The following is a 17,960-nucleotide window of genomic DNA, read 5'->3' on the forward strand; positions in this document are numbered from 1 at the left end:
GAAGGAACCAGCCCTGCCCATACCTTGATTTTAGGCTTGTAAGACACATTTTGGACTTCTGACCTCTAGAACCATAAAATGATAAATTTGTGTTGATCTAGGCTACGAGGCTTATGGCAACTTGTCACAGCAGCAATAAGAAACTAATGTCCCATAGGAACCCATGACAGAGTGAGCCTGGGGATTCAGGGAAAGGCAGATCCTCCCAGAGAGTTCTCTTCTTTTGCAACAGCCCTAGATGAAGGCAGTGGTGGCGCCTTCAAAGAGATCTAGTCTGTGTTGACAGAGTCGTGGCAGCAGGCTCCATGTAGGGGTTCTGAGAATTGGATGTGGCTTGAAGCACTGAACAGAACATTGGATCAGCATCTGGAGAGCCCCATTCCAGTCCCAGCTCTCCTCCTTACTGGCTTAGCGACACAAACACAGGGAGCTGCAGGGACAGGAGCTGATCTTCTGAGCTGCTTTGCCTCAGGGGATCTCCCCCCAGCTCTGGGCCACAGCCACTGCAGAGAGAGGCTGCCTGGATCAACCCCTGGCTCCTAGTTCTTCTACCAATGACCCCTTCTGTTTCTGGGGGGTCACCTTCAGCCTGCGGCCCCCGGCGTAACATACCAGGGGCTGCCACCCAGCATTGCTCCCTTCGTAGCCAATGCTGAGCTGGCTCCTCCCTAAGTGGACATCTACCCAGGGGCGTCCCTCTCCCCTGTGCCCTTACCATCAATCCCTCATGCTGCATGGAGCAAAGTCTCTGTGGCCTGGATCCTCAGGGCGGGGGACTGGATCCTGGGAGCGGACTGGGAGCGGGGAAGCCGGTGGGGTTGGGGAATCCGGGAGGTCTGGCTGCCACTATTTCATGGGAGAAGGGTCTGCCCAAGTCTCCCTCTCAGGACCCTCCTTTGTCCTATTCTTTCCCCACTTCCAGGGTCTCCACGTGCTCACCTCCTCCCTCTCTCATCCCTGTGAGTCACCTCCAGTGACTCCATGGGTCACACCTTGTTTCCAGTCTCCAGGCCTGTTGCTGCATCTGCCTCAATCACAGGGTGATCAAGGCTCCCCACCATATTTCTGAGCCTCAGTTTAGGCTGGACGCTAGGGAAGTTATATTTATTCATCATCATTTTTTTAAGAGACAAGTTTTCACTCTGTCACCCAGGCTGGAGTGCAGTGGTACAATCAAAGCTCAGTGCAGCCTCAAACTTCTGAGCTCAAGCAATCCTTCCACCTCAGCCTCCTGAGTAGCTGGGACTACAGGTGTATACCACCACACTCAGCTAATTTTTGTATTTTTTGTAGTGACAGGGGTCTTGCTGTGTTGCTTAGGCTAGTCTAGAACTCCTGGGCTCAAGTGATCCTCCCGCCTTGGCCTCCCAGAGTGTTGGGTTTACAGGCGTGAGCCACCGTGCCAAGCCTGGAAGTTATCTTTATTCTGGTTACTGGGCTCTTGGAACCTAGGCCTGGCCATTGAGAGAAGACTAGAAAACAAAGCCGCTCTCCGCGGACTGGCAAGGGGTGTTGAGATGGTGGGTGGGGGGCTTCCCCAGCTGTTGGCAGGTTGCTCAGTAAAGGGGGAGAGCAGGGCAGGGCAGAGGAACCCTCTGGTGTGCAATAGAGACAGGGCATCAGGAGCGTGGGGCATCAGAAGCCTCATCCAGTGTGACTAAATGTGAACCAGGTCAGTGGCGGCAGTTAACCTAGAAATAGTTAACACCCAGAAGTCATAAAAAGCGGGTCAGTCCTCAGAGTAGGGTCAGACTGCTGGTGCCCGGGACCATATGGGGCTCCATGCCCTAGAAACAGTAGGTTTGGAATGACCACAAGGCCATTTTAATTATGCCCAGTGTGGGAGAGGATTGAGACTTGAATATCTCAGGGAGCTAGTCAGACAAAAATCTAGAGCAAAATCAATTCACTGACACAAATATTTATGGAGCACATTCTACATGTCAGGTACTATGCTGCCTACCTTGTGGCACTCCAACTCTGCTCAAGGCAGAGATCTCCAGCGTGCAGTGGGGCAGCAGGGCAGGGAGCTGATGCAGCTTTCCTGGGCCACCCATCTTTAGAGAGTGAGAGCCAGGCAAGGTGGCTCAGGCCTGTAATCCCAGTGCTTCGGGAGGCTGAGGCAGGAGGATCGCTTGAGGCCAGGTTTTTGAGGCTACAGTGAGCTATGATTACACCACTGCACTCCAGCCTGAGTGGCAGAGAAAGCTCTCCAGATCTCCATCTGTCTCTCTCTCACTCTCCCTGTCTCTCTCTCTCTCTCTCTGTCTTTGATACAGGGTCTCGCCCTGGGCTCCAGTGATCTTCCTGCCTCAGCCTCCCAAGTAGCTGAGACTAGAGGCACATGCCACCACACCTGGCTTATTTTTAAATGTTTTGTAGAGACAACAGCTCACTATATTACCCAGTCTGGTCGTACTCATTATGTTGCCCAGGCTGGTCTCAAACTCCTGGGTTCAAGCAATCCTCCCACCCCGGCCTCCCAAAGTCCTGGGATTACAGGTATGAGCCACTGCTCCAGAACTCCATCTCTTAAAAAAAAAATCGTTTGTTCTTTCACTCCAAAAACCTTTGCTCTTTTTCCACTAGAATTATCAGGTCTGATTTCCACAATGCTATTCCCTGAGTGAGGAGAACTGACTTGTGGTCATTCACACACAAAGGACTGGGTTGAAGAAAAGGACCAGTGTGTGCTTATGAGGACATCCCTCGACAGCGGCTAGCCCTCACACTGCCCATTTTGGCTCTTCCATGGCTGCAGACCAGGGCACAGGGCCCTCACGTGGCTGAGCACATGGCAGGCCCCAATGTGGCGTGCATTGAGGTGACCTCACCAAGGGGGCATCAAAAAGCAGTGGAGGGAAAAATTAGATGGCAAGTCTGATGGACCTGGAAGCAGTGTCCGCTGAACCGTGAGACTGTCCCCCTTTCAGCCAGGCATTAGCCTGCGGTCACGGGTCTCCTTCAAAACCACTCTGTTTTTGGGCTTCTTGCCAAGCTCCTTGGTCTTCTTGCCAAGCAGGAAGAAGGTCAGCAGGCTCTGGGGAGGGCTGGGCTCCTGGAAGGCTGGCGCTGGCTGGGACAGAGCCGTCCTGGCCCCTGGTACTGGGCAGATGGTGCGTGACCCTAACTACCCTGCCTCTCAGGCAGAAGCAAGCTTGCTGAGTTCCTCCAGGAAGGTGCTAGCCGCAGTGATGAATCTGCAGGGATCTATCCCACTCTTTGCATGCACCTCAAGCAATTATTTTGCTTTTTATTCAGCCGGGGAGCATTCTTTGAGCTCCTACTTTGTGCAGCACAGTGGGATAGAAATGTAGAGACAAAAGACAAAGTCTCTCCACTGAGGACTGTATGATGAGTGGGAGGTGCTATGAACTGAATGTTTGTGTCCCTTCCAAATTCATACGTTGACGCCTAAATCTTCAATGTGCTGATATTAGGTGGTGGAGCCTTTGGGAGGTAATTAGGTTTAGATGTGCTCACAGCCCCCTCTGATAGAATTAATTCCCTTAAAAAAAAAGAAAGAGACACCTGAACTCTCTCTCAAGCTCTCTCTCTCTCTCTCTCTCTCTCTCTCTCTCTCTCTCTCTCTCTCCTCTTGGTGCACACACCAAGGAAAATCCATGCATCTTAGTCCATTTGCATTGCTATAAAGGAATATCTGAGTCTGGGTCATTTATAAAGAAAGGTGGTTTATGGGGCTCATGATTCTGCAGGCTGTACAAGAAGCATGGCCCCAGCATCTGCTTCTGGTGAGGGCCTCAGGAAGTTTCCACTCATGGTGGAAGGCAAAAGGGAGCAGGCATCACATGGCAAGAGAGGAATTGAGAGAGAGAGGAGGGAGCTGCCAGGCTCTGTTTAACAACCAGTTCTCGTGGGGACTAATACAGTGAGAACCCGCTAAGCAGGAGGGGAGGACGGTACCAAGACACTCATGCGGATCCACCCCTGTGACCAAATACCTCCCACTAGGCTCCACCTCCAAAACTGGGGATCAAATTTCAACATGAGATTTAATGTGGCCAAAAATACTATATCCAAACCATGACACCACGTGAGGACCTAACCCAGAAGAGGGCCCTCACCCTGAACCAACCGCACTGGCACGCGGATCTCACACTTCTAGCCTCCAGAACTCTGAGAAATCCGTGTTTGTGGCTGAAGCCCCAGGTCTGTGTGTTCTGTTGCTGCAGCCCGAGCTGACCAAGAGAGGAGGGGCCAGCCACAGCCCCAGGGGGCCCATGCTTTGGGTGGGAGTCTTGGAAAGGGGTTGCTATTCTTTCCCTGTCCCTGATAAACTTCAACTTGAAAACTCCTGTCATTAAAGATATCTTCCAGGGCCTGTGAATGATGCTGACCCCTCAGCCTCCTTTTGAGGGTGAGTATCCTGGGATGGGTGGAGTTGTCCTGGGCTCTGCACCCCACTAAGGATGTGGCAAAATTAAGGCTGTCAGGGCAGAAATAATTTGATAAAGGTTCATTGGAAGCCAAGTGTGAGGCTCGACTGGGGAAGACACACCAACAAAGCTGGGCATGTTCCAGAGCCTGTCACAGGTTGGAAGGCTTATCTAGAAAGTGAAGGAGAAGGGAGAGCTCCTCCTATCAGAGTTGTCCTTTTCCATTGATGGCTACAGCACAGAGGTTACATTCATTGGCTACAGATGACAACATACAGGCTAACATTCCATGTGCAAGGCGATCAGTAAAACTTTGTGATTCAGAAACAAATGTGTCATTTTTATTTTGAGACACAGTCTCACTCTGTCACCTAGGCTGGAGCACAGTGTCATAATCATAACTCACTGTAACCTCAACCTCCTGGACTCAAGCCATCCTCCTGCCCCAGCCTCCCGAGTAGCTGGGACTACAAGCACACACCACCATGCCCAGCTAATTTTTAAAATTTTTTTATAGAGAGAGGGTGAGGATGAGGGAGGAAAGCGGGGCCGGGGAGTGCGGCAGGGAGGTCTCTCTATGTTGCCCAGGCTGGTCTTGAACTCTTGGCCTCAAGCAATTCTCCTGCCTCTGCCTCTGAGTAGCTGGAATTACAGGAATGAGCTACCCCACCTGGCTTCACTGTCCTTTTTGATGTCAGTAGGTTATGTATTAATCAGTATGTCAACAGTTTGAGGAACTCACAGTAAGATTTGAGGGCCTCGGGATAAGAGCCTTTTCTCAGAGACAGGATGTAAGCCATGAATCACGAGGCCTTTCCCAGGAGGTTAATCCAGAAGCCTGCCAAATGTGACCTGTAGGTTATCAGATGGGTGTCAAACCTGTGCTCTCCAGGACTAGCCACTGGCTAATCACACATGGCAGTTGCAACTTACCCTAAATAATATGAAAAGTCCAGCTCCTCAGTCACATTAGCTACTTCAAGTGCTCAGTACCCACAGGCAGCTAGCGGCTACCGTCAGGGACAGAGCAGACCTGAGACGCTTCTGCCATCACTGTATATTCTATGGGATGTTTCACTGCCTAGGTGCTGGCAACAGATGGTGGTACACTGTGGGCCAGCTATGGAGTGGAGAGCCTAAACCCACTGAGGTGGGGCTGGGAGTGGTGAGGCTCATGGTGTAGGAAAAAGCTTCTCCAAGGAGCTGCACCTCCGCTGATCCTTAGCCTAAGGCTCCTGCTCTCTCTGAGCAGACAGCCTAGACCTTGACCTCTCCTTGCGTGCTGGTGCTCCTGGGGACCGGGCCCCCTTCCTTGTATTTCCACCTACTCCCTGTGTCTTTTTGTGGGCTTCCTTTGCCATCTTCTCCATAGGTTTTCAGTGGAGGCTGCACTTGCACAGTCCAGGGGATCTCAAACTGCATCAGAACCCCCTGGAGGGCTTGGTAAACCGCAGACTCCAGGGCTTCACCCACGACCTCTGATCAGCAGATCTGGGGTGCAGCCAGAGACGGTGCACTTCAACAAATCGCCCAGTGATGCTGATGTTGCTGGTCTAGAACCACACTTTGACAACCGTTGGTGTGGTCTAAAGAATCCCATTCACTGATTCATGCATTCAACAAATATTTATTGAATGCCACCATGTGCCGGGTACTCTTCCAGTGCCGGGATAAGCTGTGAGCCACCCAGCAAAGCCCTTGTCCTTCATTCTAGGACATGGAGATGGACAGCAAACAAGTTTTCTAGGTTGGGTGGTGACGACTGTTAGGAGGAAGAATAAGCCAGGGGAAGGCGAGGGGGATATTGCACAAGGTCGTGAGGAAAGTCCTCACTGACACAGTGACGTCTGAGCAGAGACCTGGGAGGGGACTTGGGGGAGAAGGAGACCCTGGCCCTTCTGACTCTGCTTTGTTCTATCCTCAGCTTTTTAATGTGGAAAATGAGAGTCATGTAAAAATCAGGGTCACAGTCTGGATGGGCGTGATGGCTCACACCTGTAATCCCAGCAATTTGGGAGGCCAAGGTGGAAGGATCACTTGAGACCAGGAGTTTGAGATCAGCCTGAGCAACACAGCCTCCGAGACACCATCTCTACTAAAAAATGCAAAAATTAGCTGGAGGCTGATTTGGGAGGATCACTTGAGCCTGAGAGGTTGAGGCTGCAGTGAGTCATGATTGAGCCACTGCACTCTAGCCTGGGCAACACAGTGAGACCCTGTCTCAAAAAAAAAAAAAATCAAGGTCACAGTCTACTCAATAGCTAGGTTTTAAAGACAAATTCAATTGTGTGTGTATGTGGTTCGTTACAAAAAAGCCTGGTGCCAAAAGCCATAGATTTGAGCTCAGCTTGCAATTTCACCCTTGGGCCACAGCAACTGATCCTCATGCTTCAGAAGCTTCTGCTGGTCACACCCCTCTCTGCAGGGTGAGGAGTCCCCAGGGCTAAGGGTACCAGGCTAGGAGCCTGTATGCCCCTTTAGAGGATGCCCTAGGATTACCAGTCCATACACCTAGTCCAGTTCCAGGACCCACAGCCCCCTTCCTGTCCATCCCTCAGGGCATACCAGGCCCCAGGGTTTGCACCCCAGGCCAGGAGATGACTGTGTAGGGATGGGGTGGACGGAACCTGACCTGGGGTCTGGAATGTCCATACAGGCATGTACTGATTATGGATAGAGGGGGCCAGGCCAAGCCAAGGACTCTATTTATCTTCTTGTCTTGGGCTCTACAAACATCAGGGGCAGACCTGTTTGCTTCAACCCGTTAGCTGAGTGCTCCTTACCTCTATCCAGCTTTGGGGATGAGAAAGGAGAGTGCAGGCCAATCTACCACTGTTGGAAAAATAAACAAATGTTGTAGAGATCATGGGTCAGTGGTGGTCCCTTCATCAATGAGAACAGCAGATGCGTGGGATCAGTCCTATCCCCTCTTATAAACATAAGCTTTTATGATGAAGTGCAAATTTTCTGTGCCTTTCACAACTAATTTTTCTTTTCAACATGTGATATCTTTTTCAGGCACAACTATCTCAGGCCTTAAATGGAGTTTCAGATAAGGCAAAGGAAGCAAAGGAGTTTCTGGTTCAGCTAAAGAACATATTGCAGCAGATCCAGGTGAGCACAGCTCTGGCGTCGGGAGAAATACTCAGTGTTGAAAGTTTGCACGTTGTGCATCGTATTAAGAAGAAAGAGGCGGGGCACGGTGGCTCACACCTGTAATCCCAACACTTTGGGAGGCCGAGGCGGGCAGATCACCTGAGATTGGGAGTTTGAGACCAGCCTTACCAACATGGAGAAACCCGTCTCTACTAAAAATACAAAAATTAGCCGGGCGTGGTGGCGCATGCCTGTAATCCCAGCTACTCTGGAGTCTGAGGCAGGAGAATCACTTGAACCTGGGAGGCGGAGGTTGCAGTGAGCCGAGATTGTGCCATTGCACTCTGGCTTGGGCAACAAGAGAGAAAGTCTGTCTCAAAGAAAAGAAGAAGAAGAAGAAGAAGGAGAAGGAGAAGGAGAAGGAGAAGAAGGAGAAGAAGAAAGGAAAAGTCTTGTAGCAAGCATTTTCTCAGTGATGGACATTAGAAGGTTTATGTGTCCTACCCTATAGCCTTGGGTGCTGAAAGTGTCACATATTCAACTCATTGGCACACAAGTGACACCTGATACAGGAAAGGACTTTTACATGGAGCCAATTAGAGAGAGCTGGAAAGATGTGATCTAGCACTCTACGTGCCATGTCGTCGTCCTTTGTGGCATCTGTATATGGTGCTTTTGTGGCCGAATATGCCCATGTCATCAATGCATCAAAATATAAATGCATCATTTTCTAAACAAATGTGTTTACTGAACTCTTATGCTGTGTCATGTACTGAGCCCAGCACAAGATACAAAGATCAATGAGGCACCATGTGTGCCTCAGGGTCTGTCTATAGGGGAGAACGTGCACACACAGGTGCTCCTGTGTGAATGTGCACACATAGAGGAACTGCTCATAAGATGAGAAAGCATTAACATATCTGGAGGAATAAGAGGGACTGAATTCTTTTTTTTTTGAGACAGAGTCTCACTCTGTCGCCCAGGCTATAGTGCAATGGCACGATCTCAGCTCACCGCAACCTCCGCCTCCCAGGTTCAAGCAATTCTCCTGCCTCAGCCCCCTGAGTAGCTGGGATTACAGGCATGTGCCCCTACACCCAGCTAATTTTGTATTTTTAGTGGGGACGGGGTTTCTCCATGTTGGTCAGGCTGGTCTCCAACTCCCAACCTCAGGTGATCCACCCGCCTTGGCCTCCCAAAGTGCTGGGATTATAGGCATGAGCTGCCGCGCCGGGCCTGTTCTATTACTTTAAACACACATACACACACACACACAATGTATGAGATTATGCTGTGAATAACGTGTATCCTGACTTTTTTTCTTTCTTAACAGTCTCTCATGAGCATTTTCTCATGGCATTAAAAGTGCCCTATGAACAAGATTTGAATGACTACAGAATATTCTGCCATATGGCTGTGATGAGATTCATAGTACCTGCCTTAATTCATATAAATATTGTCTCTAATTTAACAACATTATAGAGAAATCTAGGATGAACTTCTCTGAAATATATCTTTGTCTATAGCACTCACCAGATTTTAGCATCTTCCCCCTAAAACTCTTTGCTTCTTCCCAACCAACCCCCAACCTCTGCCAGGAAAACGGACTGGACTACGAAGCCTGCCTCGTTGCTCAGTGTGATGCCCTTGTGGATGCTTTAACTCGTCAGAAAGCCAAGCTGCTCACCAAGGTGACTAAAGAGAGGGAACACAAGTTGAAGGTAGGTACCTGGGGGACTGACACATTGAATCCCTGCCACATCCTCTGCACCCAGCGTGGGGTGGAGCACAGAGTAGGCACTGGGGAAATAACAGCTAAGTGAGTGAATGAATGAGCTAATGAATGAATGAGGCAAGGAAGGGATGCACCAGCTGGTTCGGTTACATTCATGTGACCTGACAGAGACCAATCAATATGCCCTGTGTCCTGAGGGTTTCAAGTCAGAAGTCCACCCTCTCCCTCCCTGTTTCTGTCTAAGGGACTATTCTTGTTCTCATTTTGCAGAGCAGAAGTGACCAATGACAGTGACTAGCCCTGACCCTGTTCAGGTCTCCAGCTCTGTCCCCTTCTTCAGGTTCTCTCTGATATTTCATGTACTCAACAGTCAGCAATAACATACACAGCCAGTTCCCACCAAGGGAAGACGAGACTCTCCCCTCACGTCACACTGAGTCCCTAACTCAGCCAGGCACCCATGAACTCTCTGAGTTGATGACGGGCTGTCACTGTCTGAGGAGCTCCATCTATGCTAGAGACATTTCATAACTGGACCAGAAAATATTACTGTCAAGAAAAGGAGGAATGCATGCTGGAGTTGATCCCATGGTTCATAAGTGAGGGGGCTAGGACCATTGCATTATCCAGGGCCACTGAGCGGTCGGAAGCCAGCCAAGAAGCTGGTGGCTGATTGTATGGAGAGTTCCAGATTATGCTCTTTCTCTGCATGACTATCATGAGTTTAGAAAGGTTTCTGTGTTGGGTGTTGTAGCCCTGCTTGTTAGGAAGTGAGTCCACTTATTTCCCAGCAAAGAGGACACATGGAGCTTAGCAGCAGAGCTGAGAGAGGAGCTGGTGCAAGGTGGTCCAGGCCAGCGCCGCCTCTTCCAGGCTGTATTGGCACTAGTTCTCTGACTCTTGCGGTGGCCTGCCTGTTCTTCCTCTCATGAGACAGTTACTTAGAGGAGTCTTTCCATTGCAGATGGTTTGGGACCAGATCAATCACTGCACATTGAAGCTGCGTCAGTCCACCGGACTGATGGAGTACTGCCTGGAGGTGATCAAGGAGAACGACCCCTCCGGGTTCTTACAGGTGAGCCTGTCCCTGGAAGACACAAAGTGGGCTTCCTCCAACTGTCCCACTGTTCCCCAAATCAGCCCAAGTTCTAGGCAAGATCCTTTCACGGCTTGGATTGAGTAGATTCTCCTTTGTTCAATGATTCCAGAAGACCTAGGCTCTCACCTTGGCTCTGACTCTCACTAGATGTGACCTAATTTTGCAGCATGCATGAAACGAGGAGGTGAAATGACATCATCTCTAGGCCTGAAATGCCTCACTGCAACATTTTCCCCAAAAGGACAGTCTTGCCAAACAAGCTGGACAGATTGCACCAGAAGAAGCAAGTTAGCAGAATCCACATGGCCCATTATCTCAATGTGCAGAGTCCTGCAGGCCTGGCTGGTGACCAGCTGCCTACAGACACAGTGCAATTTTCTCGGGGCCATCTCTCCTGCATTCAGGCTGACTCAGGGTCATGAGTATCTCTCAGGAACATGGCAGTGATTCAGCCTTTGTCGGTGGGGAAAATGATGAATCCCTTTGATTATTTCCCAAGAAAGACACACGAGACCCTGGCTCGACAGGGACACGTGCAAATGTCTGATAAGCAGGACTTTCCAGCAAAAGGGAGCAGAACCACGGGTGTGATGCAGTCAAGTTTGGAGCAGAAGTTGCAGAACAACTCAGAAGAAACACACGGGCAGGGGGCAGATGTGGGCTTCAAAACTTTAGGGGTGTGGAATATGCTTTCTTTAGACACTGGGGCAAACTGCTAGTATGCTTCACTTTGCAAAGTACTAGATCTAGGAAGACAGATCTAATGAAGGATGCATTTGTGTATTTAAAAAGCATCTTGCATTTCTCAGTAGTGTTTGCGGCAATCTCTTTAAGCATCAAGTGCTTCTTTTCATTTCATGTGATTATGAAATACGATTGAAACAATATTTCAATGCATTTTTAGACAGCCTGTGCTGGGTGGACAGGAGTCATTTAATCTCTGCCATGGCTCTAGAGCACAACCCTTTTCTGTCTCTGAGTCCCATAGAGACAAAGTCCCTACCTCTTCCTCACCCCTGGCTGCACAATTTTTCCTTTGCAAAGCAAAACCTTAAACTCTTTGCTCCCCTTTAAGATCTCAGATGCTCTGATCAAGCGCGTCCAGGTGTCTCAGGAGCAGTGGGTCAAAGGCGCCCTGGAGCCGAAAGTGTCTGCGGAGTTTGATCTGACTTTGGACAGCGAGCCGCTGCTGCAGGCCATCCACCAGCTGGACTTCATTCAGATGAAATGTAGGGGTGAGCCGCGGTTGGCCCCAGTTCAGTCAGTGCTTCTTTCAAAAGAGGCATGCAGTCTGAGGGGCCAGCTCGGTGCCATAGGGAGACCTGTGATGCACGGAGTGTGGCAGGGTGGGAGAGCAGGAGCGCCAGAGTCACGGACCTAGGTTCAAGTCCCAGCTCAGCCCCTGACAGCCATGTGAGCTGGGGTGAGAAGCACCAGTCAGAATCTGAGGCTTCCCATTTGTGAAAAAGACAATCATTTGTTCAACAACAATTATTTGTTCATTCAGAAGTGCTTGGAAAGTGTCTACCATGTGCCAGGCACTATTCCACATGCTCAAGATGCGGTTGAACAAGTCTACCAACTCACAAGATTGGGCTTACGCTCTCGAGAAGGAAATAGACACTAAACAAATGTATAATAGAATGTTGGATGGTGGCAGGTGCTATGAAGAGGAATCAGAGGAAGGGCCAGCAGTAGATGCCATGCGGTGAGATTTGAGGTGAGGAGGAGGAAGTGGTGGCAGAGGAGGAGGAGGTGGAGGAGGTAGTCATGGAGGAGGAGATGGAGGAGGAGGAGGTGGTGGCTAAGATAATGGAGGAGGAGGAGGAGGTAATGGTGGAGGAGGAGATGGAGGAGGAGGAAGAGGTAGCGGAGGAGGAGGTAGTGGAGGAGGAGGTGGAAGAGGAGGAGGTGGTGGCTGAGATAGTGGAGGAGGAGGAGGTAGTAGGAGAGGAGGGGGGGTAGTGGAGAAGGAGGAGGTGGTGGCGGAGGAGGAGGAGGTGGAGGCAGTAGTGGTGGTGGTGGTGCAGGAGGAGGAGGAAGAGAAGGAGGGAGAAGAATCTAGGCGAAGAGTTTTGCAGGCAGCAGAGGGATAGCAAGTCCAAAGTCCCTGAGGCAAGAATCAGTTTTCTCTGTCCCAAGAGCAAGAAGGTCAGAGGTGAGAGCAGAATGAGCAAGGTGGGTTCAGAGACCCTAGAGGGTTAAGTAAAGTTTGCATAACTTGCCCCATTATGAAATCAGCAAATGCTGGCCAGAACCGGAGTCCTACTCTGCATGCTGCCCCTCCACAGATGTCAAGGGAGGGGAGGTAAAGCTCTTTGGTTTTTGTGGACTGAGGGCCACACTTGCAGAATCTGTGAACTCAGGAAGTCCTTACCTGCATAATTTGTGGCCATTTTAAACTAAAGAAGGAAGTCTCTCTCACATTGCCATGCTCACTCCCACACAGCTTGCACCTCCAGGAAGGTCTGGAAAGGCCATTTGCCCCAGGTGTAAATGACACGCAGTGCTGAGAAGCAGGAGGAGCCTGGCAGAGTGGATGAGCTGCAGTGGAAGAGAGAGGTCCCCTTGGAAAGTGGGGGTGTGGAGGGAGGGCTTAGGGCCACTCCAGATGCTGCTCCTAGCTGGATGTGGTCACTGGACTGGTCAGGGGTAACTGGACTGGATGGGGTCACTGGCTGGTCAGCGTTCAGAGAGGAAGCGGGAGAGCAGAGCAGCAGGGCCCAGGGGATGGAGCGAGGACTCCTACCAGCTCGTTAACTGAGGCTGGGAGTCAGTCTGTGCTCAGCCAGTCCCGTGCCCAAATTCTTGGAACCAAATTGAAATATGTACTTTTAACAAAACCAGTGTTTCAATTTTCCCTTAAAAATAAAAAAAAAGGTCAAAGTGGACTCTATCGATTTCTAAAATCTCTTGAGCCTGAATAGAGCTAGAAAATTTGTAAACTTCTCCCACTCTCACCTTAATAGGACTTCTGATACAACTGATTCAAATCCTTAGTTCTTTAGGTTGACTGTCCAATACTCGAGACTTTCTTCTGTTGCCTGGATCTTGTTCACTGACCTTGTAAATGCTTCCAGCCAAAGGTTTAAAGGCATCTCCCCTCACCTTCCCAGTTCCAGGCATGAGCTGCAGGCTGGCTGCCACTTAGCTGTGGGCCCTGCGGAGAGGATCCCTAGGGACTTGTGCCACGCACAGGGAGCCTGGACTCTGTTGGAACTGTTGATGCGTTCCTCATGAGTCTGAGTCAAAACCAGTGGTTCTCAGTGGGCAGATGGGAAAGAGGACATCCTTCCTTAGGGCCATAGGCTCAGAGGGGTGGGGCCATCTGCCACGGCCCCCTGAGATTCCAGGAAGGACAACCCCTAGGTTTGAGAAGTGCAGGTCACCTGTGCTTGGCTTCATCCCCAGCCCACCTGGAGACTGACTCCTGGGCGTCTGGGAGTGACTACAGGGTGGCCAGGGAGGGAATTTAGCCTGGCTGTCCTCTGGAGGCCAGGACCCCTGGGATGGGGTGGGGTGGGGGACCGGGCTGGGGCCCTCGGAGGGCTTCCTGCGCTAACTCATGTGTGTCCCCCTCGCAGTGCCACCCGTCCCCCTACTGCAGCTGGAGAAATGCTGCACCCGTAACAACAGCGTCACGCTGGCCTGGAGGATGCCACCCTTCACCCACAGCCCCGTGGACGGCTACATCCTGGAGCTGGACGACGGTGCCGGGGGACAGTTCCGGGTGAGGCCTTGCTGCTTATTTGGCGGGGATTGAGGGTACCAATGCAGAGGCAGGAGTGGCTCCCACTGCCCCAGACTCTGGTTCAGCCCATGGGGACATTGTGTTGCCATCCTGAGGGGACACTGGCCAAAAGGATAAAGAAGGCTGGCGGAGATGGGGCTTCCCTCCCAAGGGCTAGGTCTGGGAGGACTGACACAGGCGTGGGGCTGGAGGAGAACTCAGAGAAGGTGTTTCCTGCACCCACCTCCTTTCCCGTTTACCCCCAGCCCCTCACACAGCAACACATTCCCTCAACGGGTTTTGTCACACCTTGTCTTGTCTCATCCTCTAATTATTTCACCCGGCTCTGTCTTGTCTTGGGAGGTATCATTTCTGGAGACGAGGAAGCACTGTCTGACCCTCATATACCTGGCAAGGTGCTGGGCATATAGAGGATGCTGGATAAATGGTTGTTGAATCGGGACAACATTCTGCAGTCATGTCCCTGCTGATAGACTATCATGGGGGCAATAAAGGTTCTTAGTGAGCCAGAAATGCATCTTCTACTCCCCATCTTCTAGAAACCCTGGAGCAGGACTCCACCCCAACCCAGCCCTAATAGAGCACTACCTCGAGATTTCACTCCGTGACGTTCAGGCGGACATGAATGCCAGAGAGCACAAACTCTGGGCCTTCTCAGATCACCTGGTTCCTAGCCCAGAGAAGATTAAATAAACACTCATTCCAACAAACCACTGCAATCATAACAACACTCGCATCTCTTCTCCTGGGAAGTTGCACCCATTTAACAAACCTTGCCGAAGGTCAACATTCCCTTAGTTTCTCTCAAAGAGATGTACATATGTGTCGTTTTACTTTGTGTTTGAAAAATACAGGAATGTAAGAATTATGGAAATAATTGCAGCACTTCCGTGGGAATTACTGAGTCCCATGTGAATATGGGCCAATTAGGGAGGTAAGATGAGATAGCTTGAGCCGGGTCACTGAGTGCAGACCCCAGTCACTCCTGTTGTGCAAATCAGCCAAGAACTGAAAGAGCTCGTCCACCCGAAACCAAGAGGAGAGCCAGTATTTTTGAAATGGGAAGAAAGAAAAGGCTGTTGGGAAATATTAAAAGAAGCAGCCACAGAGCTTAAAAATGGTCCCTCCTCTTTGAGACATGGCCACTAACAAAAGCTAGACCTAAGGGCTAGGGTTTATAAGGAAGAGGGTCTTACAGTAGGAAAAGTGTGGATGTTGCATGCAGACAGACCTGGATTTGAGCTGTGGCTCCTATATGGATTAGCTGTGATCTTAGACCACATTATTTAATTAGCAGAAAATAATGACATGGGAGAGGCAAAAGGCTATGCATTTGGGGGGTTGAATAGGACAAAGGTAACTTTGAAGCTAATGGAGAACAAGATCAATCTTTAGAAAAGTATCTTTGGGGGCCAGGCACGGTGGCTCACACCCGTAATCCCAGCACTTTGGGAGGCCAAGGCGGATGGATCACTTGAGGTCAGGAGTTTGAGACCAGCCTGGTCAACATGGTGAAACCCCATCTCTACTTAAAATACAAAAATTACCCGGGCATGGTGGCGGATGCCTGTTGTCCCAGCTACTCTGGAGGCTGAGGCACAAGGATCACTTGAACTTGGAAGGCAAAGATTGTAGTAAGTCAAGATTACACCACTGCACTCCAGCCTGGGTGACAGAGTAAGACTCTGTCTCAAAAAAAAAAAAAAAAGGAAAGAAAGAAAAGTATCTTTGAGGCCAGATGCAGAAATGTCTCACCCTTTGGAAAGACCAGAAAACAGCAGCTCCAGGAGGGCTAAGGAGTGGAAGATGCCAGCCTCAGGTGTGGGAGGAGACAAAGAAGTGGATGTGCCCGTGGCTCAATAGTCTTGTTGACCAGGTAGACCTTGGCAGAGTCAGGATGTTCCTGGTCAGTATCCTGGCTGGCTGCAGACCCAGGAAGCTTGCCTCACCAGGACCCCATCACGCCTCGCCGCCTCGCAGGCAGAGGGGCCGGGCAGCCAGTAGTAAGGCATTCATGCCCAAGTTGGTCAAGTTCTGTGAGCCAGCCATGACTGAATGTAATTTCCCTTTTTAATAACTTCTATTTGGTAAGAATTTTTTTTTTAATTTTTTGGCTGGGCATGGTTGCTCACACCTGTAATCCCAGCACTTTGGGAGGCCAAGGCAGGAGGATCACCTGAGGTCAAGAGTTCGAGACCAGTCTGGCCAACAAATAGGGAAACCCCATCTCTACTAAAATATATATATATATATATAAATTAGCTGGGCATGGTGGTGCATGCTTGTAGTTCCAGCTACTTGGGAGGCTGACGCAGGAGAATCACTTGAACTCGGGAGGCGGAGGTTTTGGTAAGCCGAGATCACGCCACTCCACTCCAGCCTGGCAACAGAGCAAGACTCTGTCCCTCAAAAAAATAAAAACAAAAATTGTTTAGAAATGGGGCCCTGCAATGTTGTCCAGGCTGGACTCAAGCGATGCTCCCACCTCAGCTTCCTGAGTAGCTGGGACTACACCTGGCAACAGCACTTTTAATGTCAATGTGTTTCCAGAAGCCATTTGCTAAGAGGAGCTTTCCAAATGCTAGAGGAGCCTGGTGAGCAGCATTGCTCTCTTTCAGGAAGTGTACGTCGGTAAGGAGACTTTGTGTACCATCGACGGTCTTCACTTCAACAGCACCTACAACGCCCGAGTCAAAGCTTTCAACTCTTCTGGTGTCGGGCCTTACAGTAAAACTGTCGTCCTGCAGACATCCGATGGTGAGCATCGGGATCTCTTAGTGGGAAGAACAGATTCATCATTTTATCCAGTGACAACCAGACAGCCACTTGTGGCAGCTATGATGATGGGGTAGGGGTGGGGGGTGGTGCTGGGCACGGCTGGGTTCTCCAAGGGCGTGCCCTTCTGGGACCACAGGCGGGCTCCCAAAGGACAAAGATTGACTCCTAGGGCCAACCCACATTTCATCCCGTGGACCAGGGGAAAGGATGAGCTGCTGAAGATGGGGGAGGGAGGAAGTGCAGGGCCGGAGGGGCCGGTTGAGGTGCATACGCCTCACCCTGCTCTGCACACACAGCTCTTTGCTGCACCCACATGGCCTACAAGCCACGAAAGAAACATTCATTTACCCCATTGTGCTGGACTAAATGTGAAGTAGCTAAGGGAGGCTAAACTTCTCCCACTTCTCAAGGGCTGAGGAGTGAGTAGGACAGTCCCAGACAAGAAAACTCCACGATAGATGCAGTGGGCCCACACCAGTCCCTACATTTGAGCCTTTCTCACAGCGGAAAAGTGCCCTTTAATCCCCAGCATCAGAGCTCACATCCAGTGATTTATACACCTACCTGCAGCCTTTTAGGTCTTGGGCAACAACAGCATGTTGATATTAATTCAGTGGAATTTTGATCATCTGAGTTCTTAGCAGAGAGCAATGAGAGAAATAGGAATCACATTCCAAAGAGAGTTCTGCTCCCCCAGGTGTGGCCCAGCCCAGGCTGCAGAGGCAGTTTCCAGCTCCCCACTGCCTCCAAGAAGAGGGCAAATCGTGCATTCATTGTTATCATTTAGTCCACACATCCTCTGACTGCCACAGCTGGATGGTCTCCTAGAGGCAGGGAGGAGTAGGAGCATGAGCAGATGCTGGTGTCAAAAGGCCCAGCCAGGGACACTTTTCTGAAAATGATGCCACCTGCAGAGTCACTTTGTACACCCCTAGAGGAGAGCTCGCTAGCTTCTGCCTCTAGACTCTCCTGCCTGCCCAGAGATGAGCGGTCCTTGCCCTGTGCATTGTGGTCATGACTTTAGAGTAAGGGACTCACTTCTATCAACCTGGGGGGTTGGGGAGCAAAAGGGGGCACCACCTGATGGGCTGCAAAATGGAGAAT

At 50.5% G+C, this 17,960-nt stretch overlaps 1 protein-coding gene across 3 annotated transcripts in view; it reads left to right on the plus strand.

Moving 5' to 3' along the window:
- The window catches only part of TRIM67 (tripartite motif containing 67), a 59,508-nt gene that overhangs the window by 27,898 nt on the left and 13,650 nt on the right, over nt 1-17,960 (plus strand). For 2 of the 3 annotated variants that reach the window (NM_001004342.5, NM_001300889.3), the window contains 6 exons: nt 7,416-7,511; nt 9,092-9,214; nt 10,193-10,303; nt 11,403-11,562; nt 13,912-14,057; nt 16,697-16,835. In NM_001004342.5, the coding sequence (NP_001004342.3) occupies nt 7,416-7,511; nt 9,092-9,214; nt 10,193-10,303; nt 11,403-11,562; nt 13,912-14,057; nt 16,697-16,835 (775 nt within the window). The remainder of the gene's footprint in view (nt 1-7,415; nt 7,512-9,091; nt 9,215-10,192; nt 10,304-11,402; nt 11,563-13,911; nt 14,058-16,696; nt 16,836-17,960) is intronic. The other variant, NM_001410937.1, reaches the window with a different exon arrangement.

This window comes from Homo sapiens, chromosome 1 (assembly GCF_000001405.40).
Source record: "Homo sapiens chromosome 1, GRCh38.p14 Primary Assembly".
NCBI lineage: Eukaryota > Metazoa > Chordata > Mammalia > Primates > Hominidae > Homo > Homo sapiens.